Source organism: Homo sapiens, chromosome 1, assembly GCF_000001405.40.
Source record: "Homo sapiens chromosome 1, GRCh38.p14 Primary Assembly".
Classification (NCBI taxonomy): domain Eukaryota; kingdom Metazoa; phylum Chordata; class Mammalia; order Primates; family Hominidae; genus Homo; species Homo sapiens.
In genome coordinates, this window is record NC_000001.11 from 192,561,698 (window position 1) to 192,581,374 (window position 19,677).

Consider the following 19,677-nt stretch of genomic DNA (forward strand, 5'->3'; position numbering starts at 1 on the left):
TCATCCTCCACAGGTATTGAACCCAAAATGCATGCCCAGTAAACTTCCTGCACACAAATCTCTTTCCCTGAATTGGCTTCTGGTCAACCCACACTGCAGCATTTCTCTTTATCTTCTTCAATATGAAGCAATATGAAAAGTTTTTGCACAGTTGGAGGAAAAATGGAACTAATGTACAAGGACTAGTGTATCTAATTCTGGAAAGTTTTGGTTTTATTTTTTAAAAGAAGCTGAAACATAAATAATATATATAATCATTTTATAAATATATATTTAATAAGCATATGCATAAATAGCACATTCTAGCAACTTAGGCTATTTTCATAAAATGTTCCTCTTAAAAGTTGAATTCCACATAGATACCATTTCTCCTAATTTTATCACTGAGGGAAAAAAAAGTCAGGTAATATTTTCCCAATTTTATAGAGTGAATCAAGGCTCATTTTTGATTACGTTACAAGCCCAGGATATCATAGCACTCTAATCAATATAGTTCCTATTAGAGATATCCATCTTTCTGTTTTGAATGACTTGAGGTGCTTTAGATAGGAGATTTGGGTTTATTTTATTCTTGAAATGTTAATGGTGATTTTTTTCTACTTGCTTGTTTTGTTTTCCTTTAAAGGGGAAAAGGGTACAAATGAAAGTGGAACTAAGGGAAATGGTGACTTTTTCCTCCAATAAGGCCTTGCAGGAGGGAAGGCACAACCAGGCCTCCAGAGAGTTGGGGGGATGAAGTCAGAGCTAGGAGCAGACACAATGGATTAGACCACTAGCAAAGGGAAGAAAGACAGTTTCTCAAGACAGGGTTATACTGCGGTTCAGAGAAACAAAAGCAGGCAGAGCCTGATCATGGGTGAGGAAAATTCTCTGTTCTCTATTAACCACCATATATTTGCTATGCGATCTTAAGTAAGTTTCTTTATCCCTTTGAGCCTCCATTTCCTTATCTAAGATATGAGTAATTGTGCATACCTCATAAGATTGCTCTAAAAATGAAGTTTTATCGTCTTCCTAGTCAGACTGCTCAATATGATCCATTTTCTCTGGATCTGGTAGGGGTGTATAAGAAAAAAGTGAATTGTAATAGCCAGACACATGTGACTTGGGTCCTTAGCATGTGGATGGAAAGGTAAGCTCAACATGACACTCAGGCTGACTTTGCTTGCCTTCTTTTTTACATTTGTTCTATTTCAGCATGACTGTATTGTTTCCACATTTTTTAAAAAACACTGCAAGTAATATGAAAACAGTAAGCAGTGCTTTTTCAAAATAACAGTACAATAGTAAAGGCACTATTGCCTGTCAGAGCTACAACAGAGCGCTGCCTGCATATCCTTCTTCCAGGGGCTCAAGAGAAAATCACTTCAGTTTAGAATCCCAGAATATATCCAAACTTTCACTAAATCTATGAGTTCAGAATACTATTTCTGAGAAGGATGTAAGAGGAAGTGGTAGGACTTGGAAAATTAAAACAAACTAATTACGAAAATGTCATATTGTTGAGGACATCAGACAGCTAGAGAAGCAAAGAAAATTAGATGAATTAAAATTCAAAAAGGGAAGATCCCTTCATTGGTGGGCTTAGATCACTGACATTTTCTTTTCTGGAAACATTAGCCACATGCAGGCACAGGCAGAAAGTGGGGTTTCAGACTCTGCCGATAAAACTCTACAAGGGAAAATAGATATCAGCAGAGCCTTCGTGGGGCACATGGGTTGATGTTGTATTAGAATCTAGACTAGTCCTACCTTGGTGTGGTTGCTCATGCCTGTATTCCCAGAACTTTGGGAGATGAAGGAAGCAGGAGGATCACTTGTGGCCAGGAGTTCAAGACCAGCCTGGGCAACAATCAAAACCATATCAATATAAGTCTAAAAAAAAAAATAACAAGGAATGGTGGCATGTGCCTGTAATCCTAGCTACTCAGAAGGCTGAGGCAGGAGGATCACTTGAACCCAGTCGAAGGCTATAGTCAGCTGTGTTCATGCCAGTGCACTCCAGCCTGAGTGACAGGGCCAGATCCTGTCTCTAAAAATAAAATAAAACAAAATAGTTCCGAACACACAGAGAGCTTTCTATGTAGGATAACTGCTTTGTGCTTTTGCTGCACAGGAGGGTAGAGGCCTTGCCTTAAAAAGCTGAATGAAATCTCCGTCACTCCACTCGGCTGCCCCTTGCTGACTTTGTGGAAAGAAGCCTACATGCACAGTTGCTGGAGGAAGCAATTAGAAAAAAACCTGGGCAGGCTTTTCATTGCCTCAACCCTTCATATTCTAATCATATAGAAATGATGCTCCAACTAACTAAAACTGGACAGAGAAGAGTGGAGATAATTTAAGGTATGCTGATTTCCTTCCCTTTTATTGCTGGGTGCCAAACAATACATCTCAAAGATGGTAAGTCAAGTCATAGTGGTAAAAGTTTGATCCTTTCTTTTCTCACGTACAAGAAATCTGGAGATCGGCCAATCAAGCTGGAACTATGGCTTCATGATTTCATCAGGAACTCAAATCTTTCTATATTTCTGTTCGGCTACCCTTGGCCTCTGGCATTTGCCCTTTTGAAACCACATGGTAGGTGAGATGGCTGCTCAGACAGAGGGATGTAGGGGAAAGGGCAAAGGGCAAAGAACACAAGCTGGTTGGACCTGCCCTCTTTTAAAGTGCCTGGAAGCATAATTAGCACACAGGAAGTATTATTTGTTGAGTAAATAAAATTAATGAATCCTTTATGACCCTGCCTATACTGGGTTACGCACCACCTTATGTCCTCCCAGAATGCCCAGAATTGTACATAATACATGTCTTTTGTTGTTGTTGTTTTGGTTTTTTTCCATTCATTTTTCTCTCTCCAAAATAAGACTCACCTCTGGATTCTTTTATCTAGCAGAGTGACTAGCAGAAAATAAGCATTTACTAAATGTTTGTTAAACCATTGAACAAATTAATGTAAGCCCCAGCCCTTAACCCCTTTATTCAACAAGATTTTTTAGTACCTTCTATGGGCCAGGTACTATTTCAGACATTTGAGCAAAACAGAGAAAGATCCTTGTCCTCATAGATTCTTCATTGTAATGGGGAAGAGGCAGAAAACTAACATAAACATAATATATTGAATTAAATAGTGGGTTAGAAGTTATTAAGTAGAATGAGGGGGAAAGCAGATGAAGATAGATGGTAACAGGATAAGGAGAGGGCCAATTGCAATTCTAATTACAGTGGTTGCAGAAGGCCTCATTGACAAGACAGCATCTGACCAAAAACGTGAAGGAAGTGAAGGAACTGGCCAAGTAGATATCTGGGGATATTCCAGGCAAAAGGAATAGCCAGTGCAAGAGCCCAAAGGCAAGAATGAGCCTGACAGGTTGAGAAGCAGCCAGGGGGCCAGTGAGGCTGGAGGTGAATGAGGGGAGAGAAGAGTAAATGATGTTTAGGCCAGAGGAGTCAGGAATTAAATAATGTCAGGCCCCACAGACCATTATAGGAATTTTGATTTTTTACTTTGGGTAAAATTGAGAGGTCTTCCAAAAACACATGTTTAAAAATAGGTATTTTTTTTCATAGTCTATTAACTTAATAAAGAGACAATGATATTAGCATCTGGAACCGGTTTGGAGAGGCCTCTCCTGTTGGGGTATTGAATTTATATCCAAAAATGACCCCTGCTCAAAAATATACTTTAAAAATGTTTTGAAAACACCTTAGTTTTTTTCCTACTGAACTCTAACTCCTAGCATATAAAAACTAACCTTAGTTTCAATTTCCCTTAAATACGTCTCAACAAAGTCATTCCTCATTCTGATCTGTTAAAATAATGTGAAACATTTGTTCAGAAAAATTTTGCTTTGTTTGTAGATCATGACTGAAAGACTATAGATTGTACTTGACCATGGGAGACAGTCCTCAAAAGCCCCAAGAGTTTAACTACTCATTGAGGTGATCTATTTTTTTCTTCTAATTTCACAAAGGTAAACTGTTAACAAAGGTAAAGGTTTCACAGTGAAATTGTCTAGGAAAGGAAAGAAAGAGAGGGAGGGAGAGCGGCAGAAGGAAGGAAGAAAGAGGAGGTGGAGAGGGAGGAAGGAAGGAAGGAAGGGTGGGGGGAGGGAAGGAAGGAAGGGGAAAGAAGAAAAATAGTTCAGGTACAAAAATACAAGGGTTTTGGCAGAAAAGGCATATTAAAGAAGTAGAAAGAGGAGACTGAACAGTGTTTCTGAGAAAGAAAAAAGCCTGGATAATGTCCTTCTTACTACATAGTGCTGGGCATAGTTTTAATCATTGGTTAATTATTGGTTAACCATTGGTTAATATCAAGTGTTATATTGGATTAGGCATGGCTAAAATAGACTTTAATTTGATGTAATCATAGGTACTTTTATTCAACTTTCTATGAGATTACAAACACCTTTGTCATACCCTCATCTCATAGCAGTTGTGCAATCAAATGGTTTTAGAGCTATCCACAGCTTCCCAGGCCTTCCTTCTCTAGACCAACTGATATTTGATTTGAAAGTTGGGTATGGTTTCTGCCAGAAAGAAGAGAGAGAGAAAGAGGCAGAGAGAGAGACAAAGAGAGAGAAAGCCTCAATGTTTCAAATCTATTTCATGATTACTTCCGAAGTGATCTTTTGTGTAAAACACACAAATTTTCTCATAAAAGAGAAGTGAAATTGTGACATTTTCTATGGTATTATTCTACTGTCTTGGAAACTGCCCCAAATCGGGGAAATTCTGTATAAAGGGGGAAAATCCTAATGGACTGATAATTTTTAGGTCTTCTCAGCAGCTTTTAATTTTCCATGAATGGTGTATAATGATTCATCTAAAAATAGGAAAGATAAATTATGAAATGTGACCATCTACAAGGTTAAAGAATGTGATTTCCAGGATTGAAGAGGGTCACATAATTCCTGATACAAGTGCTGTATTCTGCAGTGGTTTCAGTCTTGTTGAGAATCAATCAACAGTTGTTCTACAGTGAACAATGAAGTCAGGAGAGGGACAGATCAGTTTCAGAGATTGTCCGGACGTTCTCAGCCCCACCATGACATTTCCAATCCTTATCCCATTCTGGCCTCACTTCCCCACTTTCGTGCACATATCAACCTCCTGCCCTCATTTAGTGCAAGCATTACTAATTGCCACACTTTGTCTGTATTGCTCACTCTTTCACATGGGGCAACAGAGATGCCTCAACCTTGCCTAAGCAAAATGTGAGAAAAGAAACCCCAGGCTAGAAAAATGGAACAAACTCCCACACAAAATAGGCCTCTTAATATTTCTATACACTGTTTTTGGTATGTTAAGATCTTCCTGTTGCAACTAAGAGCCTGGTCTTAAGAGAACCAATATGGGGATAAGCCACAAAGTCACAAATAAAACATCAACTTCAGATGAAATAGAACTTAAAACGTTGCAGTGACTACAAAGAGAAGACAAAAGTTACCTGATCTTCACGAAGAAAATAACAGTTTATAGCAGTTCATAAATTTATATTTTCTGATCTTCCATAGCATCTGAAACAAAACATAAAACAAGATTATGAGTTTGTTCTGTCTTTGAGTTCCTACCAAATATATTGCCCTGGTTTTCTGTTTTCATAACACAATAAAAAAAATAGGCAAGACAAAACACACAGGAGGAAAAAACATGGGTAAGAAGAGATTGTTTACACTTCAGGATTCTGCTGCCTTTAGAAGTGCAAAATATAAGCTTCACAAGTTGCTGACAGTCATGTTTCCCCAATTTGTAGCTGACTCTGGTCTATAGCAAATTCACAATTTACAAGCATTCTAAGTCCCCTACCCCCTAGTTCAGTCTTAGCTGATCTTTGAGGGGTTAGTTGTTCAACATTTCCTTTTATTACTTAAGGTACCCAAGGGTATTCCAGTTATCTTCCTATTTACCTAAGCTAATTAACAGTCAATGTGGGGCTGCTGACACTTGCAGCTATGGAAATCCTATCTAAAACAACAGACAACTCAATATTCCTCCACAACAGGAGGGAGCTGGATAAGATCTGCAGTTGGGAGGGATCAATATCCAGCTATAAGTACCTAAGAAAAAGCAGGAAAATTAAATTGAAGTTGGAAGGAATAGTCTGTGACATTAACATCTGAACATACATTTATACATTTGATTAACATATTAATTTACAGAAATCAACTAACTAAATAAAAAAGGAAATCCAAGACAAGTAAATATTGATAGGGAAAGAAGCAATCTGGAAGACTGGCCCAGTGAATGCAGAGTTGCAGTGGTAAGAGTAGCCCTGCATTTGGAACAGGTGGATTGCCAAATTTACTAAATTTTAGGAAGAAGTCTAGGCAAAGAACTCTAACATCATAAGAAAAATGGAAAACATCCTAGCTATGGCAAATTCTGTCTAAATCTTAATTTCTCTGGGGCTAGTTTTGATTGGTATAGAATTTCAAAAGGAGATCTTCCCATGCCACTACCATAGCTGCAAGTTGCTGATGATCGCCTTTGACTTCTACACAAAGAAAACTGAAAAGAAGTTAGCTGATTTGATCAAACTCACACAGCAGGAAAAGGTATAGCTGTGAGAATTGGCTCACAGTCTTTTGAAATGTGAGATTTCAAAGCAGCAAGATGAACATGTCACTGGGATTCAACAGAATCAAAGCCTTTCATTTATTTTTTAAAATAGAATACAAATAAGATGGCAGACAAGGCTTAATAAAAAAAAAAAAAACAGAACAGACACAGAAAACAGTGGAACACCACAGACCACTTGTACTCACAATAATAGTAGTATACTGCTAAGCATGGACACTATCTGTTGACTTAGAGCTACTTTCTCAAGTAGGAAGATTATTACTACAAACAAATGTCCGGTAAGTCTGACACCAATATTTAGTAAAATAATAATAATAAAATATATAGGTATATATATTATATACACATATTATATAAATGTATACACTTTATATATATAGATATATGTAAATAGACATAAAAGCAAAGCATTAGAAAGGACATGAAGAAAGTGGAGTTAATGTGTTTGTCAGCAATAACTGGCATGGTTTTGGAAAGAACAGAACATGTCAGGAAATCTTGAGAGATTTTTCTAAGAAAATTATATAATTAATGAGGAAAAGCAAAGCAAATAAGTCTCTATTGTTAGCCACCTCGATGTTTAGTAAGAACAAAAGCAAATGAAATCACTGGAATAGTGTTATTAGAAACTTGGAAAGTTAACAGTCATTTATTGAAGTTGCTCTCTAATATTTAAAACATACCTCTGTATTAGGCCATTCTTGCATTGCTATAAAGAAATACCTGGTACTAAGTAATTTATTTTTTTAAAAAAGAAATTTAATTGGCTCATGGTTCTGCAGGCTATACAGGAAGCATAGCACTGGCATCTGCTTCTGGATAGGTCTCAGGAAGCTTCCAATCATGGCAGGAGGTGACAGGGGAGCAAGTGTCTCACATGGTGCCAGCAGGAGCAAGAGAGAGAGGGTTGTGGGGAGGGAGGTGCCACACTCTTTTAAACAACCAGATCTTGAGAGAACTCACTCACCATCATGAAGATCCTCCCCCATGAGCCAATCACCTCCTACCAGGTCCCACCTCCAACACTGGAGATTACAATACAACAAGAGATTTAGAGGGGACACATATCCAAACTATATCAATTCTGCCCCTTGCCCTCAAGCCTCAGTTTCTTCTCACACTGCAAAATACAAGTGTCCCTTCCCAACAGTCCCCCAAAGTCTTAAGACATTTCAGCATTAACTCAGAAATTCAAAGTCCAAAGTCTCATCCGAGACAAGGCAAGTCCCTTCCCCTTATGAGCCTATAAAATAAAAAACAAGTTACTTACTTCTAAGACACAATGGGGGTACAAGCATTAGGTAAACATTCTCACTCCAAAAGGGAAAAATCAGCCGAAAAAGGGGGCTACATGCTCCATGAAAGTCCAGAACCCAGCAGGGCAGTCTTTAAATCTTAAAGCTCCAAAATTATATCCTTTGACTCCATGTCCCACATGGAAGGCACAATGGAGCAAGGGGTAGACTCCCAATGCCCTGTGGATGTTTAGGGTGCAGCCCAAGTAGCTGCTCTCACAGGTTGGAACTGAGAGCCTGTGGTTTTTCCAGGCACAGGGTTCAAGCTGCCAGTGGCTCTACCATTCTGGGATCTGGAGGATGGTGGGTCCCTCCTCACAGCTCCACCCGTCAGTGCCCCAGTGGGGACTCTGTGTGGGGGCTCCAAAGCCACATTTTCTCTCCACATTGCCCTAGTAGAGGTTCTCTGTGAGGACTCTGCCCCTGAAGCAGGCTTCTGCCTGGCTACCCAGGCTTTCTTGCACACCCTCTGAAATCTAGGTGGAGGCTGCCAAGCCTCATTCACTCTTGCACTCTCTGTGCCTACAAGGTTAACCACACATGGAAGCTGCCAAGTTTTATAGCTTGTATCTTCTGAGGCAGCAGCCCTAGCTGTATCTAAGACCCTTTGAGCTGAGTCTGGAGCCAGAGCTGCCAGGATGCAGACAGCAGTGTCCTGAGGCTGCACCTAGCAGTGGAGCCCTTGGCCAAGCCCACAAAACCATCCTCCTAGGCCTCTAGGCCTGTGATGGGAGGGATTGCCCTGAAGGCCTCGAAATGCCTTTGAGGCCTTTCCCCCATTGTCTGGGATATTAGCACTTGGCTCCCTTTTCCAAGTATCTCTAGTAAATGGTTGCTCCACAGCTTGCTTGAATTCCTCTCCCACAAAAGCTTTTTCATTCCCTATCACATGGCTAGGCTGGAAATTTTCCAAACTTTTTTTCTCTGCTTCCCTTTTAAATAGAACTTCCAACTTGAAGTCATTTCTTTGCTTTTACATATAAGTGTAGGTTGTCAGAAGCAGCCAGGCCCCATCTTGAACACTTTGCTGCTTAGAAATTTCTTCTGCCAGATACTCTAAATCATCACTCTGAAATTCAAACTACCACAGGTCCCTAGGGCAGGGGCATAGTACAGCCAGGCTCTTTGCTAAGGCATAACATGCATGACCTTTGCTCCAGTTTCCGGTAAGATCCTCATTGCCATCTGAGACCTCCTCAGCCTGGACTTCATTGTCCATATCACTATCAGCATTTTGATCATGACCATTTAACCAGTCTCTAATAAATTCTAAATTTTCCATCATCTTCTCGTCTTCTTCTGAGCCCTCCAAACTCTTCCAACCTCTGCTTGTTACCCAGTTCCAAAGCTGCTTCCACATTTCAAGTAACTTTATAACAGTTCCCCCCTCCTCAGTACCAATTTTCTGTACTAGGCCATTCTTGTATTGCTATAAAGAAGTACCTAAGACTAAGTAATTTATTTAAAGAAAAGTGGTTTCATTGGCTCACGGTTCTGTAGCTTGCACAAGAAGCATAGAGCTGGCATCTGCTTCTGGGGAGGTCTCAGGAAGCTTCCAATCATGGCAGAAGATGAAGGGGGAACAGGTGTCTCACATGGCAGGAGCAAGAGAAATAGTTGTAGGGGACAGGGGCCACACTCTCTTAAACAATCAGGTCTTGAGAGAACTTACTCACCATTGTGAAGACAGCACCAAGCTATGAGGGATTCTCCCCCATGATCCAATCACCTCCCACCAGGCCCCATCTCAAACATTGGGAATTACAATTCAACATGAAATTTAGAGAGAACACAAATCCAAACTATATCACCTTCCTTTCCAAATCCTCTACATGCAGATATTTGAGCACCTCCATCATTTTTGCATTTATGTCATTGTTATGTAACAGAACATTCTATCCCAACTCCAAATAATGTGTCAGTGTTCATTTAGCATAGCTCTCCATTTATTTGGGTTTGGGAATAAGGCACCTCCTTCCATACTTACGAAATTTTATTTGCAAAGCACAGTCTAGAGTCAGACATAACTACTCTCTCTTGTTGAAAGGATTATAAGTGATAGTGTGACATTAAATGAAAATAAATCCAATATGGAATAAGTATACCAGAGATAATATTATCAAAAGATTTCCTCAGTGCTTTCAAGAATGTCTTGGAACACGGGCCTATTATCAAGAACTTAACTGGTAAAATTAGATTTAGGGTGAATGAGGCTTATTGAATCACATAAGCTCAGTTCACTGAAGGTCCCACATACTATTTTCTTGTAAATTCTCAAATTATAGAAAGGAGGCAGTCAGTGTTGACTGAAAGATTGGAGCAGAGTGAGAAAAAGAAACTAGATTCTTATCTTGCTCAGTTGCACTTACTGAGATCATTGAAGTTTAGTGTGTTGCATATATTTGCTCTTATTAAAACCCATCATATTTCTTCACAACAAAATCATAAGCAAGTCTAAAATGTTTAAACTTTTCATTCACACGATATAAAGTTTTCACCAACCCTCTATACACATACAGAGAAAAATCCTTCTAAACTCACTTTTGTTGCAGCTTTTTCAAATTTTCAAATAAACTCTATGAAATTTAGCTGAAACACTTTTAGTAGCCTTATCTATAAACCTTGAAGACCAAGGAAGCTCTGAGTGGTTATGCTAATTCAACTAAGTCATTCAGAGTACTTTTGAAAGTTTGCAAAGCTTTGTGAGTACATATGGGATCCATTTTTCCATGATCCTTCAACATAAAACTGGTCTCTTACTAGAGACCAGTTTCTCCATTGCAGCCATTTGAACTTTCCAAGGGATGCTAAACACAAATGCAGAAACAAGCAAAGAATAGATACATGTTGATTTTACAGTAAAGACAGCAGTACTTTGCTTCCTTTCTCATACTTCCAGAGGTAATTACTCCTCTGTGTTCTTTTCTCTGTACATTCCTCTCTGATGGCACCTCTCACAAACATCTGTCAGCCCCACTACACAGTGAACCCCTTAAGACAGAGATTCATTCATCTTTGTATCTGCAGTGCTTTATGTGTGATACACTGTAGGGATGCAATTAAACTTTGTTGAATCGAAACATTTTGTTTCAATGGATCAAGCTATCTTTCCACGTCACTGACTTTTCCAGTATGGATACATTTTTATTTTAAAATAGAATATTATACTCATCATTACCCCTTGTCTCACAATTCTAATATCCACAATAAGATTTTAGCAACATTTTAAAAGTTCAAACAACATCAGGTTTAAGGAAAGCACTCCCTATTAGTATTCCAGTAATTGGAGTAATTGAAACCAAATGTTTCCATTCAAATCAGTTCAGCAAAGATTAAAATTTTCCTTATTTTTCCTATCAATATCAACAGCCATAATCTGAAATGTCTTACTGAACCAATCTCCTAGGTATTTTAAAATATAACACTGGGATTTTTAGGGAAGGAAAAGTATTCTGTATGGTACTATAATGATGGATACATATCATGATACATTTGTCAAACTCATGGAATGTACAGCACCAAGAGTGAACTCTAATGTAAACTATAGATTTTAGATGATAATGCTGTGTCACTGTAGGTTCATCAATTATAACAAATATTTCACACTAACGAGGTATGGTGCTGGAGGTGGAGCTGGAGGCAAGGTGAAAGGTGGGGAGTTGTGGGAACTCTGTACTTTCCACTCAATTTTACTGTAAACCTAAAACTTCCCTAAAAATGAAGTCCATTAATTTTTCTTTAAAAAAAAAGATAACACTAAGACTACATGAAGTATTCCTTTTCCTAGAAACTCAAACCTAGATGTTTTAGCACAGTTTCAAAGAGGGAAAACTGAAACCCAGATCGTGAGACCCACTGTTTCTTCTACTGACGTTTTTGAAATCCTCTACTATTTCAACCAAAGTCATTGATTCAATAAAGTTACAATTTGACAGTTTATCTTTTCTTAGTGAAGTTTACAAAGAGGGGCCAGATAGTGGCACTCTCTTTAAAATTAATAGGGAACTTTCAATGCCCTGCCATGCACTTGTCACACTTGCTGATACAACTTGACCAAATTTGCCTTGTTCTGGAACACACAGACTTTGGGTGGATGAGCAAACAGCCTCTGAGAGAGCAGCTGCTTTATTGCATGACTAAGGTGACCTCATCAGCCAATTGTGATACAGGAATTTTGAAAGGACTCCCTCTTTCAAGAGTTTATATTTCTATTCAAGTGTGGAAGCATGCAGTTGTAAATGCTTGCGCTTCAAAATGTATATTGGGATAGGGGTAGCAAAATGTTGGGAGCATCAGAGCAGTTCCTAAATACACTACAGGCAAAAACTTATTTTGATCTCAGACCAGAGTTTCTTAACATAGTGTCAAAAAAACACATTATTTCAAAAAACTATTTTCCCTATCTAAAGAGGGTTTAGTTCTTTAACAAGTTAGGAGTCCAACATTTCCCAAACTTACTTGGCCCCATAATTTTTGCTGCTGCTCTTGTTCTTTGGAAACTGTCAGTATATTTGGATGATAATACTAGTGGGCTGTTAAAAATAATTTTTAAATCATTTTACTCTAACATAACTTACTCACAATTATTTAGAGGAGTGAGAGGATACTAGATCAACAAACATGAGCAATGTTGAAGATTTTAACAGGAAATTAAGTATGGACTGAACCACAGGAAGTATACAACCAAATGCCTTTATGTCATCTGTCTTTGAGTTTCATCGGTCTCATTAGGGTCACTTCCAAAGTGGCCAGCTCATCTCACCAGTTATCTTTCTTAATGCCTTATGTTATCTTCCCAACATAAAATGATGCTTGTTACATACAATATAATGAGCTCATTATAATGAAATTAATGACTGTGTATAAGTGAATTTTATAATATTGTAAATGTGTTTTCTTCAAATATTCTTTATCCTGACGATAGAACCAGAACAGAAAAATTAATACTCCCCTCCCTTTTATCAGCTTTACCTAATACCATCAGAAGCTTCACTAAGTAAATGCTTTTTTGTCCTTTTAAAGGAAAGTATTGTCCTTCCAGGGGTAAAATCCAAGGAGGCTTAAGTTAAACTGGGTACTCTATAAATAAGCCACACTTGTTATATAAACTTTTGAAAGCTTATATTTTACTAACTTCTCTATCCTTATAAATGATTAGTCATCTAGTTCCTTGAGTTTTGTTTGTGTTTTAAACTTTAATCTCAATTAAAGCTAAAACTGTTATCTCTCCAGAGATACTGCCAAAATGTGAAAGATCATTACCTAAGAAGTACACATTATTGGTCTATCCAAATAGACTTTTATTTTACCTTGAGCAGTTTTTCCTCTGATACTGTGACCTTGGTATCAGTATGTTTACAAATTATGTCATATTTGTATACAATTAAACATTTATTTATTTATGATTGGTTTTAATTAAACTTTATTTTTTCCTAATATGCAAAATATGCAAAAATCAAAGTTTGATATACTAGTTATATTCTTAATAAATATGAAAATAATATTAAAAACCATGCACCCCTTAAAATCATCCTATGTATTGCCAGTCGATGTCTAGCACACACCTTGGAAAATATTAACATGGAAATTTCCTGCCATGGAAATAAGGGATGAGAATTGGAGTGGGAAAATGTGAAGATAGCCTCTTATAACTTTCCCTCCTATCAGATATGTGCAAAATAATTAAACAAAAATTATTTGTTTACTTTGCCCTGCTTCCTGCAGAAAAGAAGAGAACTCTTAAAATATTTTGATCAGATGAATTTTATAGTCAAGGACTATCCAAAGCATGGAGTAAGATACAACTCTATGTGATGAATTTCTATGTGAGTTTCTATATGATAAATTAATACGCCAAATGAAACAGTTTATTGAAACATGCAACTTTTTTAAAATAAACAAACATCCTCCAGAACCAAAGACTGATGCTGTTAATGCTTTAGACATGTGACATATGTGTGTGTACCTCTGTATGTTTAATTTTCTTTCTTTCTAATCAAGTGACCTGTTCTCGTTTGGTTAAGTTTCAACCACAAGACACCACTGTATGCTTTTTTTTTTTCAAGATACACGTCACAGCACACCAAGAAAAGGGGAACTTCCAGTGTCTGTGGTAACATCACTTGATAAACAGACTCCTTTAAACAGCAAGTGCCTGTCTGCATTCTACTATATAAAGCAGCAGAGACGTTGACTAGCGCATATTTGCTAAGAGCACCATGCGCGCAGCAGCCATCTCCACTCCAAAGTTAGACAAAATGCCAGGAATGTTCTTCTCTGCTAACCCAAAGGAATTGAAAGGAACCACTCATTCACTTCTAGACGACAAAATGCAAAAAAGGAGGCCAAAGACTTTGTAAGTTTGTTCAGAGTCTCACTTTGTGAATTTTAACAAGTTATCTTTAATGGCAGAAGGATTGAGAATGAATGGAAGAGAGTGTGAGCATTTAGTTTAGCCAGATCAGAGGAGTTAATTGCCTGTTGTGAGTAATAAGTAATATTCAGCTGCATTAAAAAATAAATCTTGATATGGCATTAAATTGGGTAGGAGTTTTTCTCTACACAGGCTCATAAAAATGGGTTCTATAGCAAAATGTTGTATCAACCATTTTTAGTATTGCCTTATTCCTTAGAGAAATTTATTCTATGTCTTTTTACAAATAAAATGAATTCTGAAGAAATATGAATATTCACTTTTATGTCTTTTGTAGTGGAATGGATATGAAAGCATACCTGAGATCTATGATCCCACATCTGGAATCTGGAATGAAATCTTCCAAGTCCAAGGATGTGTAAGTACACTAATACACTAAACTATCATTATCATTTACAAGAGAAGCCTATGCATTATCTCTATATCCCAGCAAGGGATAAATACTGCGCACAGTAGACTTCATTTCTTTTAAGTAACATGCCAAATAAAATTAGACTATCAGTACCAATGTAAATTGAATACAAATGTGTACACACACATATTGGACTTTATCTATTTGGATTTTTTCAAATTTTATTGGCAGGTTTTTTTTTTCATAACTATAGTAACTCTAAGGGAAGTTTTGCATTTTGTGAATAAATTTTAACATATTTATTAGAACTACAGTTTCAGTTTGTGAAGTTATCAAAGTGTAACAGCCATTCTTATTTCATTTGTGCTTACATTTTAAAAATTGACTAATGTATGTACATTTTGTCCCCTGCAGACTTTCTGCTGCTGAAGTAATGCAATGGTCTCAATCTCTGGAAAAACTTCTTGCCAACCAAAGTAAGTATAACTATTGAATGTTTCTGGGTTCAGCTAAATACTCTAAAAAATTGAATGGCTTCACTAAATATAGTATTCTGGGTAGGATAGTATGCAAAAGGTTGTATTCTAGTTTGTCTGTAGTTACTGATAACTTCAGCATAGTATGCCTCTTAATAATGCTGACTTAGCACTCAATTCTGCCAACTCCTTTTAGACAAATTTGCCAAGACAATTAGGTATTTTCATAGATCATTATGGAGATAAAATTAAACATTGTGCTGGGATTCTGATATGTAAAAATTTTAAAAGTAAGCCAAATATTTTAATATGTACATTGCCATTTTGAAATCTGCCTAAAGAATGTATTTTTCTACACTTGGATGTAACAAGTATGATTCATTCATTCAATTAATTAAATTATCTTTCATACATTCATCATTCATCTCACCCTTATGTAGAGGACATTGTAGAGGTACCAAGGATTCAAAATCAAAGACAGTCTCTTACTGCCTTGAAGGTGGTTGAGATACATAACATAAATAATTGCATTATTATAACATGATAGTTTTTATGACATAAATATGATAGAAGGATTTTTAAGCACATATAGTCTTGTGGAGATTTTCTGATGAGAGAAGGTAAAGAATGAAATCAGCTTGCCATCCCCTTGTCTTGGGCATTACAATTCTACTGAGATTAGGACCTTTTTCAGAGGTGTAGATGAGCAGTGTGGTCTCTATCTCTAAAGAGTGAGATTATTCTTTTCTCCCCACAGACACCCTAAGGAGCTTTACTTGGGAATCACATTGTTCACTCTAGCTCAGCTGACTTTGTTTATAATTCAGCTAAACAAATAAATGGTATAGATATGGACCATAAATGGTGCCATATAAAAGTCTCAGTGAATGCTAGCAAACATAATTAGTACATCAGGCCTACAGATCATATATAGGCCTAACATTTTCTGGCTAATATAAATTAGATGGGGAAATTATATTTACTAATTATTGTGATGTTAATGCCTTTTGTCAGTGTTTGCTTTCCTAAAATACTCTCTACTCTGGCTAAGATTTGGCATATATAAAAGATGGTTTTATATTCAGTGGAGCAGAATTTCAATTCAAACCGCGGATAGAAGCAAAACAGTTTGGTAGCCACCATCAAGTAGCAATGTGACTATGAATGAGTTTGTCTGGCCCCAGATTCCTCTTCTATGAATGAAGAAATTTCAAATGACTTCTCATCTCTACAATCTATAACACAGCTATTTCAGCAGTAGCTGTCTCTTACCTTTGTATGAATAGGAAGCAATTGTATTTTTCTTACAAATTTCTTCTTCAAATTATTCATTTGTTGGTTCATTTAATTTAATTATCTCCCCACCCACCCCTCGTTTCTTTTTAGCTGGTCAAAATGTCTTTGGAAGTTTCCTAAAGTCTGAATTCAGTGAGGAGAATATTGAGTTCTGGCTGGCTTGTGAAGACTATAAGAAAACAGAGTCTGATCTTTTGCCCTGTAAAGCAGAAGAGATATATAAAGCATTTGTGCATTCAGATGCTGCTAAACAAGTGAGTATTAAGCTTATCATCATCAGTTTCTCCATAAAAGACCCTATATGCAGAAATAACATTTAATATATACAACAAGATAAAATCCTTTTGGGGTATATAATTTTACTTCTACATACTTAGGCATATAAATATAGTTCAGTGCAATGAGAATCTAATTTTCTATATTGGTGAGGGTTTCAGCACAGTAGAATAAAGAGACTGATTTTACAAAACCAGCTGCCATGATGAGGGTGAGGGAAGGGTTAAGGGTATTGTTACTGACCAGAACTGCATGTCAGGGAGTCCTTAATGAGTGCTCTTGTTTTGGATAAGAAAATGCAGATTAGCATAATGTATACAATTGCAGCAGCAAAAGTATTTCCAATTAACAGTATTACCAGATAAATATTCTTGGTCCAAGCAGAAAATATCAACAAAAAGAGCCTTCTTCTCCTGTAAATCTTAAATGCCTACATCACTCTTTATGATACATGGATCATCTTATGTGGATACTTAAATTTTTCATGTCTGCTTCTTTTGCCTCTCCTAACTATACTATGAGGAAATTTGGAACAAAGACATTTTTGTAATATTTCTTATCTCCTTCACACCTAGTATAGAGCTGATTTTACAAAGGCATTTAAGAGATATTTGAATTGATTTAAATGAGGCCTTAAAATTACTTTCTGAGGTGTTTCAAAAAACAGTAACATCATAAAATTTGCAGTAAAGAAAAGTATATATTAGCTAACAAGGTTTTCTTTTTTAGATCAATATTGACTTCCGCACTCGAGAATCTACAGCCAAGAAGATTAAAGCACCAACCCCCACGTGTTTTGATGAAGCACAAAAAGTCATATATACTCTTATGGAAAAGGACTCTTATCCCAGGTTCCTCAAATCAGATATTTACTTAAATCTTCTAAATGACCTGCAGGCTAATAGCCTAAAGTGACTGGTCCCTGGCTGAAGGGAATTAACAGATAGTATCAAGCGCAGAAGGAATGTGCCAGTATGGCTCCCTGGGTGAACAGCTTGGCCTTTTTTGGGTGTCTTGACAGGCCAAGAAGAACAAATGACTCAGAATGGATTAACATGAAAGTTATCCAGGCGCAGAGTTGAAGAAGCATAAGCAAGACAAAAACAGAGAGACCGCAGAAGGAGGAAGATACTGTGGTACTGTCATAAAAAACAGTGGAGCTCTGTATTAGAAAGCCCCTCAGAACTGGGAAGGCCAGGTAACTCTAGTTACACAGAAACTGTGACTAAAGTCTATGAAACTGATTACAACAGACTGTAAGAATCAAAGTCAACTGACATCTATGCTACATATTATTATATAGTTTGTACTGAGCTATTGAAGTCCCATTAACTTAAAGTATATGTTTTCAAATTGCCATTGCTACTATTGCTTGTCGGTGTTATTTTATTTTATTGTTTTTGACTTTGGAAGAGATGAACTGTGTATTTAACTTAAGCTATTGCTCTTAAAACCAGGGAGTCAGAATATATTTGTAAGTTAAATCATTGGTGCTAATAATAAATGTGGATTTTGTATTAAAATATATAGAAGCAATTTCTGTTTACATGTCCTTGCTACTTTTAAAAACTTGCATTTATTCCTCAGATTTTAAAAATAAATAAATAATTCATTTAAGATTCTTCTTTCTACCATCTCTTTTAACATCTAAAACTATTATCTAGTGAATACTATATTTTATGTATTAGTTTGGACAGAATTCACAATTTTTCTCTCTGCTATCACAAGGCACAAAATCAAACAAATATAATATGATCTCATGTTCAATAAGAAATTGAAGTCTTTTAAAAAGGGATAGAAAATTTATTTCAAGAGGTAATCTAATTAACAGCATATATTTTATTGTGAGTTAAAGTTCATAAAATCTAGACATATTTTCTCATTTAACATTCATAGCAATCCTATGAAAGCTGAGACTCAGAAAGATTAAGTCACTAGTTCTTAATTTTAGGTAACTCTCAAAATTATCTAGAATGTTAAAAAAACACACACATATCCCTGTTTTGGGGTCCCATACCAGAATGACTGAACCAAATCTCCAAAGGGTAGCATATGGGAATCTATATTTAAAAGAAAGCCCCAAGTGAGTCTGAAGATGATTTTATAATTCAGAGTTCAGAACCTGGGAATTAAGGGACAGTCATACTAGCAGGGATTGCCCAGAAGTCTTCCTACTACAACCTATTCTCCTTCCTCTATGTAACACTGCCACCCACTGATCAGAAGGCATTTCCTGAATCACTAAAGTCTGCAACAGTCCTAAGTGTCACCTAAGCAGGAAAAAAGACTCCAAAGTAGGGCTCACCTACAGAGAGAAGAAAAATCATCAAGATGATGCATATTCCTGAATAGCCTGTACAGCTCTTATCTCCCCGCGCACCTGTGCTTTATATTTTATTCAATAATCAGTCACTCACATATCACAATGAAATACGGTTAATGTATGGATAATCTCACTATGGACTGGTCCAGTCATCAGGCACACAGCAATGGTAAGGGGCAATATGCAGATCAGGTACAAACAGAATTATTCTTGAGTTGTCATGGGACAGAGTTTAAATTGGTTCTACTTTATGCTTTATTCCTGCTTTAAGTAAGAGAAACTTGGGAGTCCAGTGATAATAATAATAATGATAATAAGCATCATCATCATCAGTCATCTCTCTCTCAACTCATTCCATCACCAAATTCTGCCAATAATTCTTCTACAATCAGTGTCTGTGGTTAGAACATCGCTTGCTCTTTTTTATTACCCCATCCTAGTACAGGCTTTCATAGTTTGCCAATTCACATGACATGTTCTTTGTCTTCCCAGTGTCTTTTCTTTAATTTATCCTCTGAACAGCTACAAACATCATCTTCTGAAACACAGATTTGGCCACATCATTTCCCATGACATATAAAATGAAGTATACATGTCTCCCTCTGGGCTTCAAAACCCTCCCAGTGTAACCTTCATGATATAAC

General features: G+C 36.9%; 1 protein-coding gene and 1 long non-coding RNA gene across 2 annotated transcripts in view, besides 2 other annotated features; one reads left to right on the top strand and one right to left on the bottom strand.

Moving 5' to 3' along the window:
* The window catches only part of LOC105371664 (uncharacterized), a 115,921-nt gene that overhangs the window by 48,585 nt on the left and 47,659 nt on the right, over positions 1-19,677 (bottom strand). Inside the window, exon 4 of the long non-coding RNA XR_002958418.2 lies at positions 5,450-5,519. This is a non-coding gene — a long non-coding RNA (uncharacterized LOC105371664). The remainder of the gene's footprint in view (positions 1-5,449; positions 5,520-19,677) is intronic.
* Positions 13,921-14,000: an enhancer, noted in NCBI's record as "active region_2262". NCBI's record gives its function as "activates an Ori minimal core promoter by ATAC-STARR-seq in GM12878 lymphoblastoid cells {active_cell/tissue: GM12878}" and the evidence as "EXISTENCE:reporter gene assay evidence [ECO:0000049][PMID:35858748]".
* On the top strand, positions 14,076-18,327 carry RGS1 (regulator of G protein signaling 1). The gene is made up of 5 exons (NM_002922.4): positions 14,076-14,232; positions 14,588-14,668; positions 15,077-15,138; positions 16,525-16,688; positions 17,440-18,327. Exons 1-5 carry the CDS (start codon positions 14,096-14,098, stop codon positions 17,623-17,625), a joined length of 630 nt encoding a protein of 209 aa, NP_002913.3. The 5' UTR covers positions 14,076-14,095; the 3' UTR covers positions 17,626-18,327.
* Positions 17,637-17,886: an enhancer, noted in NCBI's record as "active region_2263". NCBI's record gives its function as "activates an Ori minimal core promoter by ATAC-STARR-seq in GM12878 lymphoblastoid cells {active_cell/tissue: GM12878}" and the evidence as "EXISTENCE:reporter gene assay evidence [ECO:0000049][PMID:35858748]".